The sequence below is a fragment of the Homo sapiens genome, chromosome 4, assembly GCF_000001405.40.
Source record: "Homo sapiens chromosome 4, GRCh38.p14 Primary Assembly".
Taxonomy (NCBI): Eukaryota; Metazoa; Chordata; class Mammalia; order Primates; family Hominidae; genus Homo; species Homo sapiens.
Genome location: NC_000004.12, coordinates 160,501,222 through 160,523,238, shown reverse-complemented (window position 1 = coordinate 160,523,238; position 22,017 = coordinate 160,501,222). Strand labels below are relative to the sequence as shown.

Here is a 22,017-nt window from a genome sequence, read left to right as displayed (position 1 = left end):
TGCTTGAGAGAAAAAAAAAAAAAAGATCATACAAGACACGTATAATAACATTAGGAAGTGTGCATTCATTTTATATGCTAATCACATTTTTAAGTAAATGGAGTTGAAATATGGTGTTAAGAGGTGGAAGGCACATTATGTGGGCTAATTCTATCATTTCATTGTATTTACAATGAATGGCACAATTATCTGTAAATACATGCTTCTAAAATAATACATGATCCCAGTAGAAAAGTTTGAAAATGGAAAGATGTATAAGGAAAGAAATAAATGTCATGTTCAAAACAGCTTTCATTGTCTGCATAATATTTTATCATATAAATTTCTTCCTTTATATTTAGAAATTTTATTATAAATTGTACTATAGTAATTGTACTTTTTAAACAAATATTTTTGATAGTTTACTATGTGATACTAAGAATAATCCTATGAGTCAGTATTATTATCAATAACTGTTTTACAGACGAAAAAACTGAGGTTCAGGAGTTGAGATTCAAATCTAAGATATTGATTTCTATGCCTGCACTCTTCATATTAATAGTATCTTATTGATATTTAATTTAGGATAACGTCAATGCATGATATTACTGATTTAAGTATATGAAGAACTGCAAGACTCTTGACTGATTTTGCCTCATATTTCATTAAAAATGCCATGCCAATTTATTCTCCCACTAAGTTTATGACAGCATGTGAGGGCTTATTTGTTTCTACTAATAGTGGAAATAAAAATTAAGAAAAAAATTAATTTTGCCAGAATTGTCATGAAATGGCCTATTATCAGGTATGCTTTCATTTCTCTGATTATTAACTTGGTTAGTCATTTTCCATATATATAATCTCTATTATATCTAGATAGATCTATATCTAGAAAATTATCTATCTGAATAGATAAAGATAAAATTCCACAAGTCTGTATACCTACTGCATCTGGAAGAGAAGTCCAGGTAAGAGCTGCTGAGCACAGAAAATGGCATCTATCTCATCATCTAGGAGGATTCCTGGCCATAGAAGAAGAAAATTAAGCCAGAGCTGCAGTGGAACTCCATCAAGAAAGTCTGGAAGTCAATGGCCCTTGACCTGGTGAAAGAGGACATAAAGTCAGTAGTGTTTGCATTACTCAAAATTTTGTTTTTCAAAAGGAGCTAGTCAACAAATGCCCCATGGACCTCCACCAGCCTCTCCATTTCAGATATCAAAAAGGACAGCAGTGTGCTCCACCAGGATTTTTTGCAGGCAACACTGGTGGCCCTGATGCTCTGAAACAACTTCCCGACATCTACCTCATGATGAGTGCCTGAAAAACAAAAGCCTGCAGTGGGAACCAGGATCCAAATTTTCATCCAGGAGAAAACTCTGCAACTCCTGGGCCACTGGAAGCCTAGCCACACTTGGGGAGCACTAATGTTGTTCTGAGGAATGTGGACATTTACATATCCCCTCTGGGGTTTAAATACCATGATGTAGAAGGGTGGGAAAATGCCTGCAAGGGAACAGAGAGGCATTGGCAAAGGTGCCCCTTCCCTGAGCCCACGGTGGCACACTTCATTTGTTGTTAAAGACTAAAACTACCTTTCTCATTGTTAAAAATGATGCATGTGCATATGTGGTTTGTTTTTATGTGAATTGCATCTATGTATTTTTGAGTATTTGCATGTCTATCGCTTGTATTGTTGGCTGGGTCTTGTATTGCAAGACTCATTATCAGCTCAAGAGAACTAATAATTCAATTTTAAGGAATTTTTACAAGCTTTTTGATCAGTAGTTGCGAATCAGCCATCTTAGGGACATTTACATGATGGAAAAGACCAAATTCTATAAATCACCAAACACTAAAGATAAGGTTGTTTTGTCTTCTTGGAGAGTCCCCATTTATTAATTTTGCTCATTATTTTACAGATGAAGAAATTGGGTTCTAAAAGTTATATTGACATCCTTACAGTCACATACATAGATAGTGGCACAGAAGCTAACCATTTAATACTATCCCTAAACCTGGGTCAGAGGTTTCAACGGGGACAACTGAGTTAGATCATCTATGAAATTCTAAGTCATTGACTCTTTTGTTCCCTCAATGTCAGTTCATACCAGTAACATTGAGCCCTTCTGATAACATGTTGCAGTAAAAGGACCCAGGGCTCCTTGCGGCCATGGTTAATTCTAGAACTGAGACAAGTAATGTAGAAATTGGGCCTGAAGTAGTACCAGAAAATAAGGACTAACGAAACAAAAAGACAAAAAAAAAAAAGACAGGAAAGGGTGTGTCAAGGGATACAGGAGCCAACTGGAAGAGCTTCCAGTGGCCAAAGCTAGAAGAGTTTCAGAAACAAAAAAGAGAACTGAATTAAAACCAAAAGTTTAAAATAAATATTCATCTTTATATAAGCAACTGATTTAATACATGAATAGAACAGAATAGATAAATATAACATCAGAATAATCCAAATAATTTATGTAGATAATACCTTCTCAAGAAGTGATGCTTAAGTGTGGGCTGCTCAATGACTTATTTTCAAAGATTATAGTATGAAAATAGGAAAAAAGTAGTGTTACAGTGAAGAAAAATGAGAACTATTACCTCGGCCATGTGATGATAGTTAATATTAATGACATGTTCATACCATGTATTCTTAATATGATGTGATGAGAATAGCACTTTGCCTCTGTAATCTTCCTCCTTCCCCCTAAAAATGTCACCAAAGTCTAACCATTAAAAAAAATCAGATAAACCCACATTGAGCAGGGTTCTACAAAACAGCTGGTCAATGCTCCTCCAACGGTCAAGGTTATCGGAAACAAGGCAAGTTTGAGAAACTGTCACAGGCTACAGAAGCCTAAGGGGTCATGAGAACTAAATGTCATATATCCTGCATGGAACTCTGAAACAGAGAAAGAACACTGAGTAAAAACTAAGAAAATCTAAATATGTAAAAGCTTTAGTTAATAACAATGTATCAATGTTATATTATTGGTTGGAATAAATATAACATATTGAGGCAAGATGTTTATAATAAGAGAAAATGGGTGAGTGGTATACAGGAAACTTCTGTACTAATTTTGTAACATTTATGTGAAACTAAATTATTGCAAAACAAGTTTATTTAAAACAAACTGTTCATGGTTTACCATCATATTAAAAGCTCTTCCTTTGACGACTACTTATAGGTTTTGCCTGTACACGGAGTCACTTCATTCTTTATTGAAAAAAAAACTGCTTTGCATCATCTTCTATAGAACTGAGTTATGGCAGAGCAACAAATAAAAAGTAGAGTGAGAATTTTTAAGATTCTGGTCAAGGGATTTAAAATCTACCCAAGTAACTAAGAATGTAATGTATCCACCTAACTGAGTATATGAAAACAAAGTTCAGTCCACAATTGTAATAGCACATTGTTTGAGTTTTTGCTTGTAAGTCACAATTAATTGTTTAAAATGTTTTGTTTTGATCTACTTTAATCTGCAATACTTGGTTTTTTTCAAGTTGACAAGCCATTTTTAAAAAATTATTTACCAATACTTATATCCTTTATCATATTCATATTTGGCTAGATAGTTGCTTATTAATAAAGACATTTAAAGACCAGTATGTAAAAAAGAGAGGAAGGAAACCAAGTCAGTTATACTGACTAGCTCAAAGCACCTCTCCATAAAAAGTTAGTGGCAAAAATATGTTGAAGCTTTTAGTGAAAAAAAAAAACAAAACCCTAGAGAATCACCATTATTCAATTTTGTGTATTTAAAATTGTTTGATCACATTAGAATAAAAAATTTGAAAGTAGATTCCTTAAAAAATTTTTCTAATATTCGTGAGATGCCAGAATTTTTAAATACATTTTCATTAATATCACTTTTGAAAGCTAGAGTCCCATCTTTGTAAGCTTATTTGTAAAATAAGAAGGAAAACACTAAAAATAAATCATGCAAATGAATATTGATAATTAATTGGAAGTTTTGCCTAAATATATGCATAGCTAAGCACGTTTTGAAATAGGTAATTATCTTAGTCCATTTGTATTGCTATCAAGGAATACCTGAGGCTGGGTAATTTATAAGGAAAAGAGGTTTATTTTGCTCACAGTTCTGCAGGCTTCACAAGAAGCATGGAACCGGTATCTGCTTCTAGTGAGAGACTCAGGCTGCTTCCACTCATGGTGGAAAGCAAAGGGAGCAAATGGTCACAGATTGCATGCAAGAGACAGAAAGCAAGAGAGAAGTGAAGGTGAGGGGCTAGCAACTAGCTATTGTTGATAAAATAGGTGAGAACTTACTAATTTCCAGGAGGACAGTAGCAAGCCATTCATGAAGTATCCACCACCATGATCCAAACACCTCCAATTAGGCCCCACCTCCAACATTGTGGATCAAATTTCAACATGCTGGTTGGAGGGTCAAATATCCAAACTATAATAGCATTCAATTGGATTCTCTGCAATTTAAAAAGAGGAGAAAAGCCAAAGTTAATTTTTCTGAAGCAGGAGATTTAGTTAAGAATTTTAATTCAACAAATGACAGTAAAAGGTATCCAGAATACTCTGTAACCAAGTTAAAAATATATACCAGATAAAATAGCATATTTATCCAATAAAATTTTCAAATTATACTTAATGAGCTGATAATTGCAAATCTTCCTTAACCTAAAAATTCAAAAGGGATTCATTTATACTGTGATCGGCATTGCTCAGAATGAATCTAGTTATCTCTGTTTTTAAATGAAGTTCTCTTAAATGCATGAAGTAGGAAATGGGACATAACTATGCCACAATTATTGCAGTTTTAAAATATAAAAGGAAATAAAAGAATGTCAGTTTCAGTTCCATCACTTCTCCAGGAATGACAAGGTGCAATAAGTCAATAGAAATAGGATATGATTAATTGAATTAATAGTGTTCAGTGAAAATGGAGTTCAAAAAGGTTGGCAACTTAAAGGAGTTTAATTTTTAGAGTTGAGTCATATGTCACAAGATAGAGAAAGGGCGTTTTTGTGACACAGAAAGATATCCTATAATAGCTTAAAAGAATTTAGGAAGGGAATTTTTATTATACGTTAGTGCAATATGCCAGGATGGTTAGACCTTGCTTTTTACCTTTTGCAAACAAGTATGCCAGTTAGAATATTGACACAAGGGCTCATGATTCAAAAATTGTTATTCAATATTATATGTTCTAGAGTATGCATAAAATGTTTTGGTTATATTATATATTCAATCATATCTAGACAGTTTAATTACTCATAACTATTTCTTATTATAGTGATTATTAAATGTTTGTTTGGTTTAATAGCCTCTTTAAAAGCAATGGCAATAAACTGATTCATTTCTATTTTATTTTTTTGTAGAGACAGGGTCTCAATATGTTGTCCAGGCTGGTCTCCAATTCTTAGGCTCAAGTGATCCTTCCACCTCAGCCTCCCAAAGTGCTGAGATCACAGATGTGACCCATAGTGTTTGGCCTTAAATTCACTCATTTCTCTTTTTTTGAGACAGAGTCTCGCTCAGTCACCCAGGCTGGAGTGCAGTGGCGAGATCTCGGCTCACTGCAAGCTCCGCCTCCCAGGTTCATGCCATTCTCTTGCCGGGACTACAGGTGCCCGACACCACACCCGGCTAATTTTTTGTATTTTTAGTAGACCCGGAGTTTCATTGTGTTAGCCAGGATGGTTTCGATCTCCTGACTTTGTGATCCGCCCACCTCGGCCTCCCAAAGTGCTGGGATTACAGGCGTGAGCCACCGCACCTAGCCAAATTCATTCATTTCTATTAATAAAATTGAGAACTATTTGGTTAGTGAAAGAATATCATAGGACAGTCTCATAAAATAAATATATTTTCTATATTTGATGTTAAACCTAAAAAAGGAGTCCAGGTTTCACAGTTGCATCTAAATAGAAAAGTATCAAACATTAATATAGTCCTCTGTCTTTGGAAGAAATATCAAATAAAATATAAAATATAAATAAAATATAAAAATCTCTGTTCATTAAGTTTCTCAGACAGTTCCAATCTGAGCTGATAATATTGAAGCTAAAGTTTAAAACAATTAGTAGAATTAGTAAGGGTCCGCTTTTGAGATAGTGAAGTGCTGAATGCCGCATTTTATACAAGATCTACTGTGTTCGAAGCCCCTCAGATTGGAAGTGTATGATATCAGAAATATTTCAGTAGTAGAGGTCACCTATATGAATTAAATTAAATTATTCTTTGATTCTGTTATTTTTAAGAAACATAAATACCAAAATATGTGGATTGAACCATCCATCCTTTCAACTACATAGAATAATATTGTCAACTAGCAGAATTTCAGAGCATCTTTAAGGAGTCCTAGCAACCGGTGGTCTAATTTCACAAATGAAATATTTGGGGCTTACAGAAGTCAGACTTGTGTCATGGTTATCTCCACAGGGCATAAGGTAAATTCTTGCAAATTTGTGCTTATATACAATGCTATATATATTGTCTTTCTAACTCCATTCACTACCAGTTACTTGGGAAACCCAGATGTGCAAGCAAGGGTTACATTGTCCCCATTAGAGCGTCAACTGATTGACCACATTCTCCCTGTTGAGAGAATCACACATACGCCAGGACCCTAATGCTTCTGTTACATATATTTACAGGAAAGTGAATTAATTAATTTCTAACTTGGAAAATATCTTTCTTACATCAGATTATCTGACATCTGCCTTCTTTTAATTATCTTAGTTTATCTTTACCTTTCTTTCTCTTTTGTTTCAGTCTTTAATTCAATGTACATATTATCCCAAAACAACTCTGATAGTGAAATAAAAGTTTTTATAATGGAAAGAAAAACAATGTATTAGGAAATATATTTTGATGTCCAAAATTAACTTTAATAAACTCTAAAGTTATTTCAAATACAAAAGTTCTATACCTCTTCTTCGTGCAAAAACTTAACATGATTGTCTCTGTCACCACAACTGACAATACATAAGTCAATAAATAAATAAATACTTGATATATTTGAGTACATGTTGGACATCCTTATTTTTAATAATTTGTTTTCCATTAAGAAAAGTGAGGTATCAGGATTATTTAGAATATATGAAATTAGTTAATTTAGTGATCATAGAGAAGAGTGTCTAGGAAGTCTTAAAAAAGAACCGAAAAAAACAGGTTAAGAGACTCCACACTTTCAGAATGTTTTAGAATGTAGAATTCTTGCTACAGCTGTGGAGAGATTGCCAAGAGAATGATCAGTGACCAGCAAGGTGGAGCCTCATTCTTAGAAAATATTAAACTGGAGATGGTATATCACAGTGGTTCAGGACATGTGTTCTGGAAATACACACTGGTTATATTAGACACCCAGTTTTGCCACTTACTGCTATCATATTTGATGGTTTCTTTAATATTTCATGTTTCAGTTTACTTTCCTGTAAAATGAGGTAATTAGAGTACTCAGTAAAGTTGATGTAAAACATAAGATTTAATACATGCAATATACTAAAAGCAGTGCTTAGCACATCACAAATCTTCAAAAGAGTTACTTATTATAATTTTTCATCACTTTTTGCCAATTATCCTGCTGACAACTTTTTATGCTACTGGTATTATAATGAAAGCACAAGCAAATAAATAGTAATTAGAAGCCAGGCGCAATGGCTCACGCCTGTAATCCCAGCATCTTGGGAGGCCACGGTGGGCGGATCATGAGGTCAAGAGATCAAGACCATCCTGGCCAACATGATGAAAATCTGTCACTACTAAAAATACAAAAATTAGCTGGGCATGGTAGTGCACGCCTGTAGTCCCAGCTACTCGGGAGGCTGAGGCAGGAGAATAGCTTGAACTCTGGAGGCGGAGGTTGCAGTGAGCCAAGATCTCCCCGCTGCACTCCTGCCTGGCGAAATAGCGAGACTCCGTCTCAAAAAAAAGAAAAAAAAAAGTATTTCGAGGAAAAGTAACTCTTAGAGAAAGTACTCTACCTTGCTAAATTGAAAGGATTCTAAACAAAAAGTACATTTTCACAACTTTTGCAACTAAACTTATAGATGAAAAATAGATTGCCTCAATTAGATGCAACAGAATAAGGCTTGAAAGGATATAAGGTACAGCATGGTAAATACTGTACTGTCTGCTTGAAATTTACTGAGAGTAAACCGTAAATATATACAATTCTTATTTGTCAATTATACATCAATAAAGTTGGAGGCGGGGGTGAAGCAGAATGGAGGCAGAGCTCATTGCATGTAAAAATGTGAAATAGATATATCTAGATTCCGTCTTCTAGTGACTTAGCTTTGTGGTTGTCAGAGGCAGTATTAAAAGTGAGAGCCTCACAAATAGCAGTTGTGGCTGCAGTACTTAATGACTTTTCTGTTACAGCAACATGGGTATGAAATTAAGGCCTATTCCTAATTGCTTGTATTAAATTATATTCTGTATAACTAGATCAGTTTTGTATTTTCTGTATTCATCTTCAATGATTCTCTACTTGCAACCATCATTCACCATAGCAAGTAACTGCTACAGGCAGAAGCAGCATGGCTACTGGTGTGAATAGCACGGTCAGCACTGTAATCAAAATGATTTGAACTGCAGGTTCTTTGGTGGGGGCCAAGTGATCATGATGCCCCTAGGACTAAAATAGATGAACAATCTAATAAAGTCCTGTTAGACTGGCCATAAAAAATTTAAAGAAAATAAATTTCAAAACAAAACAAAAAACCTCCAGGTCTGGAGAAGAGTGACCTGACTGAAGTCACTAAAATGAAGAATCAGGATTCTTCACCCAATTTCTAAACCTGAGTCAGTTTATAGACACAAAGCTCCTTAAAGGAAAAACAGCATTCCTATGAGGAAGAACATTCTGACGTTACCACAGGTGTGCCTGTGTGGCTTGTGGCCACCTACACATGTAAACATGCAGAGAAGAGGCAGCAGTCTGAAGAGAATGTGGTTCATGGACTTGGCTGCTAGGAATCTCTTGGGTCGTGGAAAGTCACCGTGGTTTGGCAGAAGAGGAATGAAACTTTGGTTCAAGTATGTCTCATAAAATGATATTAAGAGTACATTTCTGATTCTACTCTGTGTTCATTTCCTTCACTTTTCACACACAAATGTGAATTAACCATAGTTAGAACCTGGCAGAATATCTACACTGGCTTCTTGTAATATGAGAGCCACAGTGCAATCCCTTTAATTCTTTACTAAAATAATATAAGAAACATGCAACACCACATCTGTTCTGGATTTCAGACATTTATACCAATATGGGTTGAGTGTCCTTTATCCAAAAATAGACTTAGAAGTGTTTTGGATTTCAGAATTTTGTATGGATTTGGGAATATTTGCTTGTATATAATGAGATATCTTGGAGATAGGACCTAAGTCTAAACCCAAAATTCAGGTTTCACATATACATTATAAGCATAGCCCAAACGTAATTTTATATAATATTTTAATAATTTTGTGCATAAAATAAATAAGTTTTGACTGCATGTTGACTGTGATGTGGCACATGAGGTCAGGTGTAAAATTCCCCATTTGTGGTATCATGTCATGTTGGTGTTCAAAAACCTTTGGGTTTTGGAACATTTTGGATTTTGGATTTTCAGATTAGAGGTATCTCGATTTGTATCAAGAAATTAAAATATTGAGGACTGGTGGTTCCTGTCTCTTCCCTGATTTTTTAGTTTACTTATTGTATGTAAAAAGCAAATGAACCTTTAAGGATATAAGTGGATTATCATAATCATAACTGATATTAACTGTAATTGAAGACAGTTTCCTGATACAGTCTCTTTACTTGCCCATATCATTACAGTTCCTGTCATCTTTTACAAAGCTTTCAAGCTAATCATATATTTACTATTCCAGGAACCCACAATACTACAAATAATTTGTTTTCATCCAGTGATAGCAAGAATGGTTCTTACTATTTTACTTTGTTATCTGTCATAATCTAGTCTACAGGATCATTGAGCGCCTCCCATCTTGGAACCATCATCCAGATTCATCATACTTATTGTATATCCCACTAATTACCCTGGAAAACCAGAACTGGTACTGTAGATAACCTGAACATACATATATGTACCAAGTGATAGGAGAAATAAAACACAAAATTTGGGGTACAGTGTAGCTTCTGGAATGCAGTGGTCTAGACATACAAAAATCCTGCCTTTAAACTAAAATTTCAGTGCTGCACTGTTGCACTCTCTCTAACCCCAAAAAGGAGCCAATCTTTTTGGGTTTTAGAGGTAATAGATATCATATGTTGGCAATGTATCAAGTAGTTGTCAAGCCCTGCCCCTTGAGCCATATGATCCAGAAGATCCAGATTCTCTTCTTCTATTTTACTGTTATTTTATATAATACGTATGCATTTTTTCCAATTTTTATTTTAGATCTAGGTGGCACATGTGCAGGTTTGTTATCTGGGTATATTGTGTGATGCTGAAGTTTGATTATAAAGGATCCCATCACCCAGGTACTGAACATAGTATCCAACAGTTAGTTTCTCAATCTTTGCCTTCCTCCCTCCCTCCCGCTTCAAGTAGTCTCCAGTTTCTACTGCTGCCACCTTTATGTCCATGAGTAACAAATAACATGCATATTTATACAAACCTTAAAGTTCAACCTTTAGCTTAGGACACCAATGTAGTATTGAGTTAGAAGAGGAATGGATATTGTCACCACGAGTTGGATATAGTGACCATTGTGGAAAAGGGCGCATAGACACATACAACTTGCACCTTAGAGTCATAATAGAAAATAAATTTAATTAAGGGAGTACTTATAGGAAAAAAAAAGTATAAAAATGCACTCAATCCCCTGAACTTTCATGATTCTTTAGAGGGGTGTGTTATGTTAAACATAACCAGGATCACAGTGAAAGGGAGCTCTCACTTGCATTGCTCTACATATTTATGGGAACATGAAGCAGGAAATATGCATTTCACTGTCTTCAATAAGCCAACTAGAACCAACGATTTGAGTGAAAATATTTTAGTTTGAAAGTAATAGCAGAAAGCAGATATAGGGAAGATAGTTAGGTCTGGCGCAGTGGCTCACACCTGTAATCCCAGAACTTTGGGAGGCCGAGGTGGACCAATCAAGAGGTTACCAGATGGAGACCATCCTGGCTAACATGCTGAAATCCCATCTCTACTAAAAATACAAAACATTAGCCAGGCATGGTGGCACATGCCTGTAGTCCCAGCTACTCAGAAGGCTGAGGCAGAAGAATCCCTTGAACCCAGGAGGCGAAGGTTGCAGTGAGCCAAAATCATGCCACTGCACTCCAGCCTGGGTCACAGAGCGAGACCCTGTCTCAAAATAAAATAAAATAAAATAAAATAAAATAAATTTTAAAAAGATAGATAATGAAGCATGTGTTTTATAAGCAATTTTCAACTGTGGATATGGATCCATTAGTTTCTATCAGTTGTTGCTTGAGATGAGCTTCTGGGGTCATCAACTCCTTGGCTCTTCTAGCTTGCCAAACGTACAGGCTGAGTCTGCTCTGACATCCACAGGAATCTTTGCAGAAATGATGAGCACTCGCTTGCAAAAAGAAACAGTTGGGTTACCCTGAACAAGGAATATGTGACAGGACAATCCAGATGAAAGCACTAACAGGATCTTCCGTGCTCTGGTCTACTCCTTCTACAAGTTGAATTTATTCATTATGTTAAGTTACTAATTCTCCACAGTGACAGATGATCACAACTTTTGGAATGATAAATACAATAGTAATGTTAAAAATTAAAGGCTACAAGGCCATAATTGATGTCTTCATCCTTTCTTTATATATAAAATAGATATAATTCCACTAAAGATAAATCTTTGTTTTGTCCATGGGGAAAGAGACCAGTCTGATGAATTTACTTGCCATCAGACAGATGATTGATCTGCTAGAAAGATAATGTAGCTACACAACCATATGTCCCAAATCCCTGTGTCAACTACATCTCTTGCATCAACATCTCTCCCTCAGCCCACATCTATGGCCTCATTGGTCTCTGCTGGTGATTTTAGGATTGGCAGTAGCTAGGTTGACCTTGGTAAAGGGTAGCTTATATTATGGGGCTCATCCACACTGTGTGTACCTGATGTCATGCATCATGACAGCTTTGTTTATAGGACTGTTATGCAAGTACAGTGGTGACTAAGGATGGGTGCTGGTTAACATCATCATGAATGAGTCATTCTCTTTCTCTCCCTCTGTGTGTGTGTGTGTGTGAGCACAAACATATATATACCTATATGTGTATATATCTATACCTATACCTATATGTGTATATATGCATATATATATAAAATGTGTATATATATGCATATATATATATATATATATATATATATAAAACTCTTAGATCAAGGTTAACTCAATCATCCACTATATGGTCAGTCTCATATATTTAAGAATGAATAAACACTATGATGACATATATATATAAAACCATATATATATATAAAATGGTTATATATCTCTTCTGTAGAAGATGCTTAAATGATTCCAGGATATGAGTCACAAGAATTCATACACTTTTGCTTCCCATAGGTCCACAAAGCCTTTCCACAAGTTTTTCTCTGTCAGTGGAATTCCAAGTTTGCTCCTTCAACGACCAGACCAAGCAGTCAATGCATCCACATCTGCCCATGAGTCTATGTACAACCTTACCAATAACTACCTCTTCCTCCACACAAACTTGAGGACCAGGTGGAGTGCTTGAAAATCTGTATATTATTTCTTCTAACAATTGTCTTTCAGTGTGGGACTGTCATTGGCAGCAGCCCATATTTGGCTTCTTCTAACTTATGGATGTGACCAAACCTTAAACCTGGCCTAAATCTTTTCCTTATCATAAAGAAACCTTCATGAGGCCGTAGATGTGAGCTGTGGGAGAGATATTTATGCAAGAGAGGTAATTGATGTGGTAATTTGGGACACATGGTTGTGTAATTTATTTGTGCTACCTAAATATACTGCGGGGCCAGTTCTCAAAAATATATATTTTGACTAAACATGTCACTGACATGAACATCACCTCCTTTCTGGCCTCCAAGATTATGCCTTTTTCTACCTATAACTTTTTTTGGAAAATATTAGAAAGAGTACTTAAAAAAAAAAATATATATATATATATATAGAAGAAACTGTCTGCCTAAATCTCTCCAAATTACTTCCCTAACTGAAATTAAGTTTAGTTTAAACTCCTTAAAAGGACCTGTGTTACCTCATTTGGCTCATGGCTCTCTGATTCATTTCCTACCTCTCATCCTCTCAAAAACTGCTGTCCAAACCTATTGGTTTATTTGCTTTTCTACATAGTTAATGCGATATTTGGGAGAGAAAATGGGTATTTATTTGTTTATCAGATTAATAGTTTGCATTAAAGTTCAGCACCAACTTAACTAGACCAGCCTTGTAAATTTTATAAGCTATTTTATAACTAATTACCCAAAAACTGTTTTGAAAGTACAGTGTAAGAGTTTTTTAGAAACACAGCTGGAAATGATAATTTATGATTTGCACACAAGCATAGTGTTACATAAATTTACTCATGTGATCATTTTAACATTTCTGAGCATAAACACTTTTTTCATGCTTGAAAACCTCAGAGCTTTAACACACATCTCTAATTAGGAAATTATTTTTATACTTGGAATACTTTTCATATCTCAGTGTAGTGTCTCATGATTTTATATCACCTAACGTCTTACATCATAATTAAAACAGATACTGTGTCATATAGAACCAATAAATATTGAGTAGTAAACTCTAAGTACTTAGAAAATGCTTAAGTTAAAACTCTTAGATCAAGGTTAACTCAATCATCCACTATGTGGTCAGTCTCATATATTTAAAGAATGAATAAACACTACGATTACAGTGCAATATAGCAAATACAAAAGATTTTTAGAACCTTAACATAAAAACTGTGGATTTTATACTTTAGTACTAAAATTATTTTAAAGGAACATTTGGAGACTTGAAGATTTAATAATGCCAATTCTTGAGAAAAATAAATAAGAGACTTTAAAAATTTGCTGAACTAGAAAAAGAAAGTAATTTGCTTTTTTTGTTATCTTGGAAAGCCTGAGACAGTTGGAAGAGTTAAGAAAGATTTCCAAAAGAATCCAAAAAATCATTTTTGAATTAACATATCTCTGTCACCAATATATTATTCTCAGTGTTTCATTGCATAATAATAGCAAATTATAGTAAAATCTAATGAAAATAATGTCTTACAAGATAAGAAATGCCTCCTTTTAGGAGAGGGTCCAGATGTTTTTTGAAAATGTCTTGTGCTTCTGTGAGAAGGGGTGGTGGGTAAAAGATGTTTTGTCAAATAAATTAGTGAAGAGTTCTTTTTGGCAATATCACAACAGATGTGGATTTGAGTTTTGATGGTTGCTGCCAGCTGCGCTTCTTCCTAATCCACCAGAAATCATGCACATGTATCATGTAGGAATAATATGACATGAAATGAACTGGCAAAAAAGGGCTCATCTAGGTATTGTTAGAAAGATCTCATCTTTCTTTCTCGTAGAAGATGCTGAGCCCTTGATTGAGTGTGGATTTCTTACATAAATATAATTAGAATGATGCTGAGACTATTGTGTAAATTCAAAGCTTAGAACTATTTTAATACGATCAAGATTCTATCTATTGATCTGTATTTTCCTATTCCATAACACGTGCATAAGGCTGAAAATTTTGTAACATATATTGGAGGCTGTTTTTGAGATGACCTAAAACTTTTACTATGTGGAATATTAAGTATTTATTTTGGGGGTTCTCAGTGCATCTCCAAGGAAGTGCTGATCCAGACATCTCATTTCATGGCAATTTTAGGTTTACAGAAAAATTGAGCAGAGAGCACAGAGTTCTGATATAAACCCTTTCCTACAGTTTCCCCTATTGTTAACATCTTATATTAGTGTGATGCATTTGTTTCAGTTGATTAACCAAAATTGACCCACTATTATGAAAGTCTGTTGATTACATTGGGTTCACTCTTGGTGTCATAGTGTTCTATGGGTTTTGACAAATGTACAGTGTCAGGTATCCACCATCACAGCATCTTACAGTATAGCATCATCGTCCTAAAAATCTCCCATACTTCAGCTATTAACCACCTATTGCCAAACCTGTTGGAAACCACTGACATGTTTACTATCTCTGTAGGTTTGCCTTTTTGAGAATGTCATGTAACTAGAATCATCCAGTTTGTAGCTTTTTAAAAGTCTGGCTACTTTCATTTAGCAATATGCATTTGAGGTTCCTCCACATCTTTTGGTGATAGCTCATTTCTATTTATTGCTAAATAGTATTACATTTTATGAATATATATAAAATAATGTGTATATTCACATATTGAAGGGGATCTTACAAAGCTGCTACAAACATTCACGTAAACATTTTTTTTTTGAAATAAGTCTTCAATTCATTTGGGTCAATACCTAGGAGTGAAATTGTTGGATCATATGCTATGTTTAGCTTGGTCATAAACTGCCTGTTTTTCAAAGTAGCTGTATCTTTTTGTATTTCCATTAGGAATCAATTAGAGTTCTTGTTGTTCCATATCCTCGTCCGCAATTAGTACGCACAGTGTTTTGGACTTAAGCCCTTGTAATGCGTGTGTAGTGGTATTTCAATGTTGTTTTAATTTGCATTTCCCTAATAATGTATCCTGTTGAGCAACTGTTCATATGCTTATTTGACATCTCTATATATTTTTAGTGAGGTGACTGTTCAGATTTTTCGTCTATTTTGTTAATTTTTTTGTTGTTGTGTTGTAAGAGGCCTTTTGTTTTTGTGTTACATTTTAAACACAAGTCCTTTATCAGATATATGTTTTGCAAATATTTTCTTTGGGACTGTAGTATAAACATACAATTAGGTAGAAGGAATAAATTCTAATGTTAGATAGCAGAGTAACAATAGTTAATAACAACATATTTTATATTTCAAAATAGCTAGAAGAGAGGACATGAAATGTTCCTAATACATAGAAATAATAAGTGCTTGAAGGATACCCTAAATATAATTACTTGACCGTTACACATTATATGTATGTAACAAAATATCACATGTATCCCATAAATAGGTGCAAATATAATGTATCAATTTAAAAATATAACGTGCAGTATAGAAGTCCAAACTTTCTATTTTTTCTTCCATTGATTAAGCTTTTGGTGGGGAATTTTAAAATTTATTGCCAAACCTAAGATCATCTAGACTTTTTCCTATGATATCTTCTAGAGTTTTTATAGTTTTCCATTTTACTTCTGGCCTATGTTTTGTGTTGCTTTAATTTTTGTGAAAGGTGCAATATTGGTGTGTAGATTAATTTTTTTTTCATATGGATAGTCAGTTTTTCCAGAATCATTTGTTCAAAAGAGTATCCTTTCTCTGTTAAATTGTCTTTGCTGTTTTATCAAAGATCAATTGAATATATTCATGTGGGTCCATTTCTTCACTCTATTGCGTTCCTTTGATCTATGTATCTATTTCTATTCCTTCACCAATACCACATTCTCTTAATTACTGTAGCTTTATAATAATTTATAAAGAAGAGTAGTGTCAGTCCTCGAACTATATCTTTCTTTTTCAGTGTTTTCTTTAGCTATTCTTGGTCTTTTGCCTTTCTGTATAAAATTTAGAATTATTTTTGTGGATAGCCACAAAATAATTTGTCAAGACATTAATTGCAATTGAATTTATAAATTAATTTGGGAAGTGCTGACAAATTAATGGTATTAAATCTTCTTATATATGAACATAAATATCCCTCCATTTATTTAGATTTTTAAAATTTCTTTCTTCAGAGGTTTTGTTTTTTTCCTTATGTAGATCTTGTACATATTTTGTTAGATTTGCAGCTAAGTATATCTCCTTTTTTGGTGTAAATGATAGTGGTATTATTCTTTGCATTTTAAATTCAAACTGTTCATTGCTGGCATGTAGGAAATCAGTTGACTTTCATATGTTAACCTTGTATTCTGCAACATTGCTATAATTGCTTAATGGTTCTGTTGTTGATGATGATTCCTTGGGATATTCTTATAGGTAATTGTGTCATCTACAAAGAGCTTTATTTCTTTCTTCTAATCAATTGAACATTTTCTTTCTCTTTCTTTTTATACTGCACTAGCTAAGACTTCCTGTATGATGTTGAATAGGAGTGGTGAGGGAAAAACATTGCCTTATTCTTAATCTTAAACTGTTTTTTCTTTGTTCTCACACCACAACAATCAACGCAGAAGACGTCTGTCACCAAATGTGTGGGGATTTTTCCCCACCATCAAGCAAGTATCAGTTCTGCAGTGGACACCTGCTGGGTGCCCTCTGATTTAATTCTGACACTATCTACCCGGAGTTGGCATCAGATCTCACAGGTTGAGGGCTCAGTCCCACAAGGCCATCTCCCACTTCTGATGACATTTGCAAGCCCCACGTTGTTTTACCTGTGCTCCTAATTGGCTATAAATTGGAAATCTCATGACTCCCTCTCTGGGTTTGATTGATTTGCTAGAGCAGCTCCCAGAACTCAGGGAAACACTTACTTATGTTTACTGGTTTATTACAAAGAATATTACACAAGCTACGGATGAAGAGATGCATAAGGCAAGGTATGGGAAGGGTCATGGAGCTTCTACGCCCTTCCTAGGCACGCCAGCCTCCAGGAACTTCCGTGTACTCAGCTACCTGAAAGTTATCTGTCCTCCATCCCTTTGGGCTTTTCATGGAGACTTCATTGGATAGATATGATTGAAGTATGGATAACTTTGTAGAAACGTGATTGGATAAAACGGGCATGATCTAATACTAATAGTCTGAGTGGGGGAAACTCAGCAAGAACTGTGTGTTCAGATTTTTCTTGGCCTCTCTGTGCAGCGTTTCTTTCTCCAGGGTATGGGGCAGGACCCCTCCTGAAATGGGGGTCTTACGACCTACAGTCAGACCAAGGTAAGCCAGAAAATGTCTTTATTGCCAGCTCCAAAACAGAAAGGCGGGGAATGATTAGAGGGCATTTTTAGTGTCTACTGCATGTCCAGTTGGGGAGAAAAAAGAGCAGTTGAAAGGAGGGCAGAAGAAGGTCAGAGAGAAGAGATTCTGTTTTCCGAGGCCTAAAGTACTGCAACATTTTAACAAAAGACTGTCTCTCACCTTTATGGCTCTAAAGCTGTTTCAAAGTTTTTTCAGGAGCCAAGGACAAAAAGCCAAATACTTTAACAGAAGATATGCTTATTGTTTTAGTAACTTAGGAAAAAAATAAACAAGTGCTATGACAGTTGTGAGCCAGAAACAGTGGACAAAAGTCTATATATATGTGTGTGTGTGTATATATATATATATATATATATATATATATATATATCTCATAATATCACACATGATTATATGGTTTTACTTCTTTAGACTCTTGAGATGATGGATTGCATTAACTGATTTTTGAATATTGAAGCAATCTTTTTGTCTTAGTCAGTTTGGGCTGCCTTGACAAAATACCATACATTGGATAGCATGAAAGAACAGAAATTGATTTATTATGTTCTGGTGTCTGGAAAGTTGTAGATCAAGGCACCAGCAAATTCAGTGTCTGGTGAGGGCTCACTTTCTGGTTCATCCTTTTTTTCGACAGTGTCTTGTACTGTCACCCAGGCTGGAATACAGTGATACAGTAGCAAGATCCTGGCTCTACCTCTGGGGCTTGCATGATCTTCCCACCTCAGCTTCCCAAGTAGCTGGGGGAGCTGCTACCATGCCGCGGCTAATATATATATATATATATATATATATATTTTTTAACTTTTTGTGGAGACGAAGTTTTGCCCAGGGTGGGGTATTCTGGCCTCAAGAGATCCGACTGCCTTGGCCTCCCAAAGAGTTGGGATTACAGGTATGAGCCACCTTGACCAAATTGGGTCATCTTTATTTAAACACATTCTGATATATTACTTATTTACTTCAGACAAAATTTGAAAAAAAAAGGGCTATTTTGATTTTCAGTTAAAATCCTGTTTACCCTACAAAGAACCACTAGGCAAAGTTTAATTGAATACAATTTCATTGACTACTATTAAATAAATCATGGAAAAACCCCCCCAAATATAAAAATTATAAAAAATATAAATAAACTAGCTGAATAGTTGCCAAATATAATATTTTTTTCTGTGGATAGTTGGTAAAATTTTTCTATGGCATTTAGTACACTTTTAAAATTTTCTTAAATGTTCTATACATTTATTTAATTCAACATCCAAAATTTCAGGGTTTTATTTTTTATTTTGTGTAGGATTTTTTTTCATTTTTTTTCTAAATACTATTTCTATGTATAAAGAAGAACTCACAGTGCTGAATTCTCACATTGCTTTTAATGAATTTTCAGTTGATTTTCTTGAGTGTTTCAGCTATATATCATTTGATCTAATGATATAATCTAAAAAAAATTTTGCTTCATCTAGAAATATAAAATACTATATCCATTTAGACTACATACTTATACAAAGCACACACACATACGTTACTTTTGACTAAATGCATTTGCTAGTGTGTCCAGAATAATGTTACAGGAACACATTGACAGTGGCCATCCTTGCCTTGTTTGACCTTTAATGAGAGGGTTTCCAGTGTTTCACTATTAAAGATCCTTTGCTTTTGCCTTACATTTCCCTCTTTCTTCCCCCCTTCTTCTCTTCCTCTTTTCTACTGTCTATATGAGCTGGCTTTCATTTAAAGAAAAGATCCATTTATTTTTAGTAGAATGGAATTCAAATAATTTGTCTTTTTTTTCAGATTTTATAGACATAAAACAATTATCCTTTTCTTTAATCAAGAAAAATATGAAATCAGAAATATAAGTATTTAATGATATAAAGTCAGCATTAATTTTACAATGGTGCTGTATTTCAATTAGATATAAATATACATTTCTCACAGTCTGCTATATAAATCATTTTTTTTAGCTTTTCAGAAAAACTAAGGGTCAGAGTACTTACAAACCACAAAGGAAAAAATTAAAGCCTGCCATCTAATGAGATTGAGCTTCACTAGACAATTAACTGTAACATTTTCTGTGATCAGGTGTAAGTGGCAGAGTGCTTGTTTTATATCTTTCTCTCTTTCAGTGTAAAAGTTAAGAATAATATTTCTTCCAAATGAAATTACTGTGCCTCCCTTCAGTCATGTGAAATATAAACTTTACCACTGAGGTTTATATTAACTTTGAAAGTTTTTATTGTTTTATTTGAGAAAGTTTTCAAGGGTCATATATTTTAGGGGGTGGGGTGGTAGGAAAAACATTATTTAATAAAATGCGTACCTGCTATTCACTTACGTGTAAATGAAATGACTTGTCTATTTTTTCCTTTCCTTTCTTTGTTCTAAACAAAAGCTAAAGTAACCCTCCAACATTGTGTATGTGTGTGTGTGTGTGTGTGTGTGTGTGTGTGTGTGTGTTTTGAGATGGTTGCAATATTGTGCTTTCTTCCTTCATCAAAAGCTGAAAAACACAGCAATAAAAATACTTTTGACAGCTTCTGAACCTAAAAATATGAGGGCTTAATTTATATTTTACACTGTAAATTTAAGAGTGACTCAGACCTCAGGACTTGGCCCAGTTAGAGTTTCTGTGTACCTATTCTCTCTAAATTAGCTCTTACAATGCCATGGCTTGGAATACCATTTATCAGCTGATGATCCTAAAGTACAGTATCTGTACTGCTCTTCCGCATTCCAGACTTACAGATTCAATTTCTTATTTGTTATCTCAACATGGATTTTTAATGACAATCTTATATTTATTTTGACCAAAGCAAAATGTTTAATCCACCGTTGCTCCAACCAGCAACAGTGTAATGTTCTTTTACCTGCCTTACTTCATCATCCAGCTAGTTGCTCAGCTTAAAATCTCTAAAATCATTCTCAATTCCAATCCTTGAGTAGTTGCTACTCAAAGTGTGATCCAGGACTACCATCACCTGGGACATTTTTAGAAATGCAAAATCACATTTTCCACTTCAAACCTACAGATTCAGAATCTGCACTTTAACAGGATCCCTGGATGATTCATATAAATATTACGTTTTGATAAATACTGCCACATATTGAATGCTACATTGAAATCTGTCAGCCATTATTATTACTTTTATATCTAAATCAAATGCAAAAGAGATTCCTTTTTATTGTCCCCTTTGTTACCAGTCTCATTCTTCATCACCTGTCAATTTACCTGCTTCCCACTTCCATTTTGTTTCTGCATGGTCCATTTTGGTCCTTCTTCCCACAGCAGCCAGAGTGTTCTTTAAGAATTATATATCAGACCCTGTTGGTTCCCAGTCTTATCATTGCATTTGAAGTTCTTTAGCCTGTTCTATAATGTTCCATATGATCCATTCTTATTTGCCTTTCTGCCTTTGTTATCTACCACTCCAATCTCACTTACTCTTCTTCACAACCGTAGCCTGTTCTGTAGATATGGCTATGTGGTATCCCATGCTTAAATACTCTATCTCTATTGGGGCCCAATAACATGCCAGAAGTGTTTCTCAAAAGACATATAATTCCTCAGGGTCAACGGCATGACACTTTTCAGTACCCTAGGGACCTGCTTTGTGATTCTCCCACTGGAATTTGCAATCAACTCTGAAGCGCATCTTTTCTCATCCCTACTAGCTAAAATAATAGAATCACTCAGATGATATGGCTCAAGCTATAAGGCTGCTGGCATGGCAGGCTGGACCTGCTGCAGAGTACTTTACTTCCTTGAGCTTTACTCAAATTTATCAGCCTCCATGTCTCCCAGTAAAGGAATCTGAAGCGTATACCTATGGGTAAAATGTGCTGTTCTCAGAAGCAAAATAAAACTACCAGGTGCTTTCTTTTCTGAGGTGTAAAGATGCAATGTTAAACAGTTTTTTTCTTTTATGTGGAGAGAATATTATCGCACACCTCTGGCCATCAGGCTCTAAACTCTTTGCTGAGTGGCATGTCCCTGAAACTTCATAGAGTTTGTCTTCCAATCTCTGAAACACATGTGGTACC

At 34.8% G+C, this 22,017-nt stretch overlaps 1 long non-coding RNA gene across 1 annotated transcript in view; it reads right to left on the bottom strand.

Moving 5' to 3' along the window:
• Positions 1-4,420, bottom strand: part of LINC02477 (long intergenic non-protein coding RNA 2477) — a 34,676-nt gene extending 30,256 nt beyond the window's left edge. The window contains exons 1-2 of the long non-coding RNA XR_001741914.1: positions 4,269-4,420; positions 922-1,080 (exon numbers count right to left, since the gene is read on the bottom strand). This is a non-coding gene — a long non-coding RNA (long intergenic non-protein coding RNA 2477). The remainder of the gene's footprint in view (positions 1-921; positions 1,081-4,268) is intronic.
• Between the last annotated feature and the right edge of the window lie 17,597 nt (positions 4,421-22,017).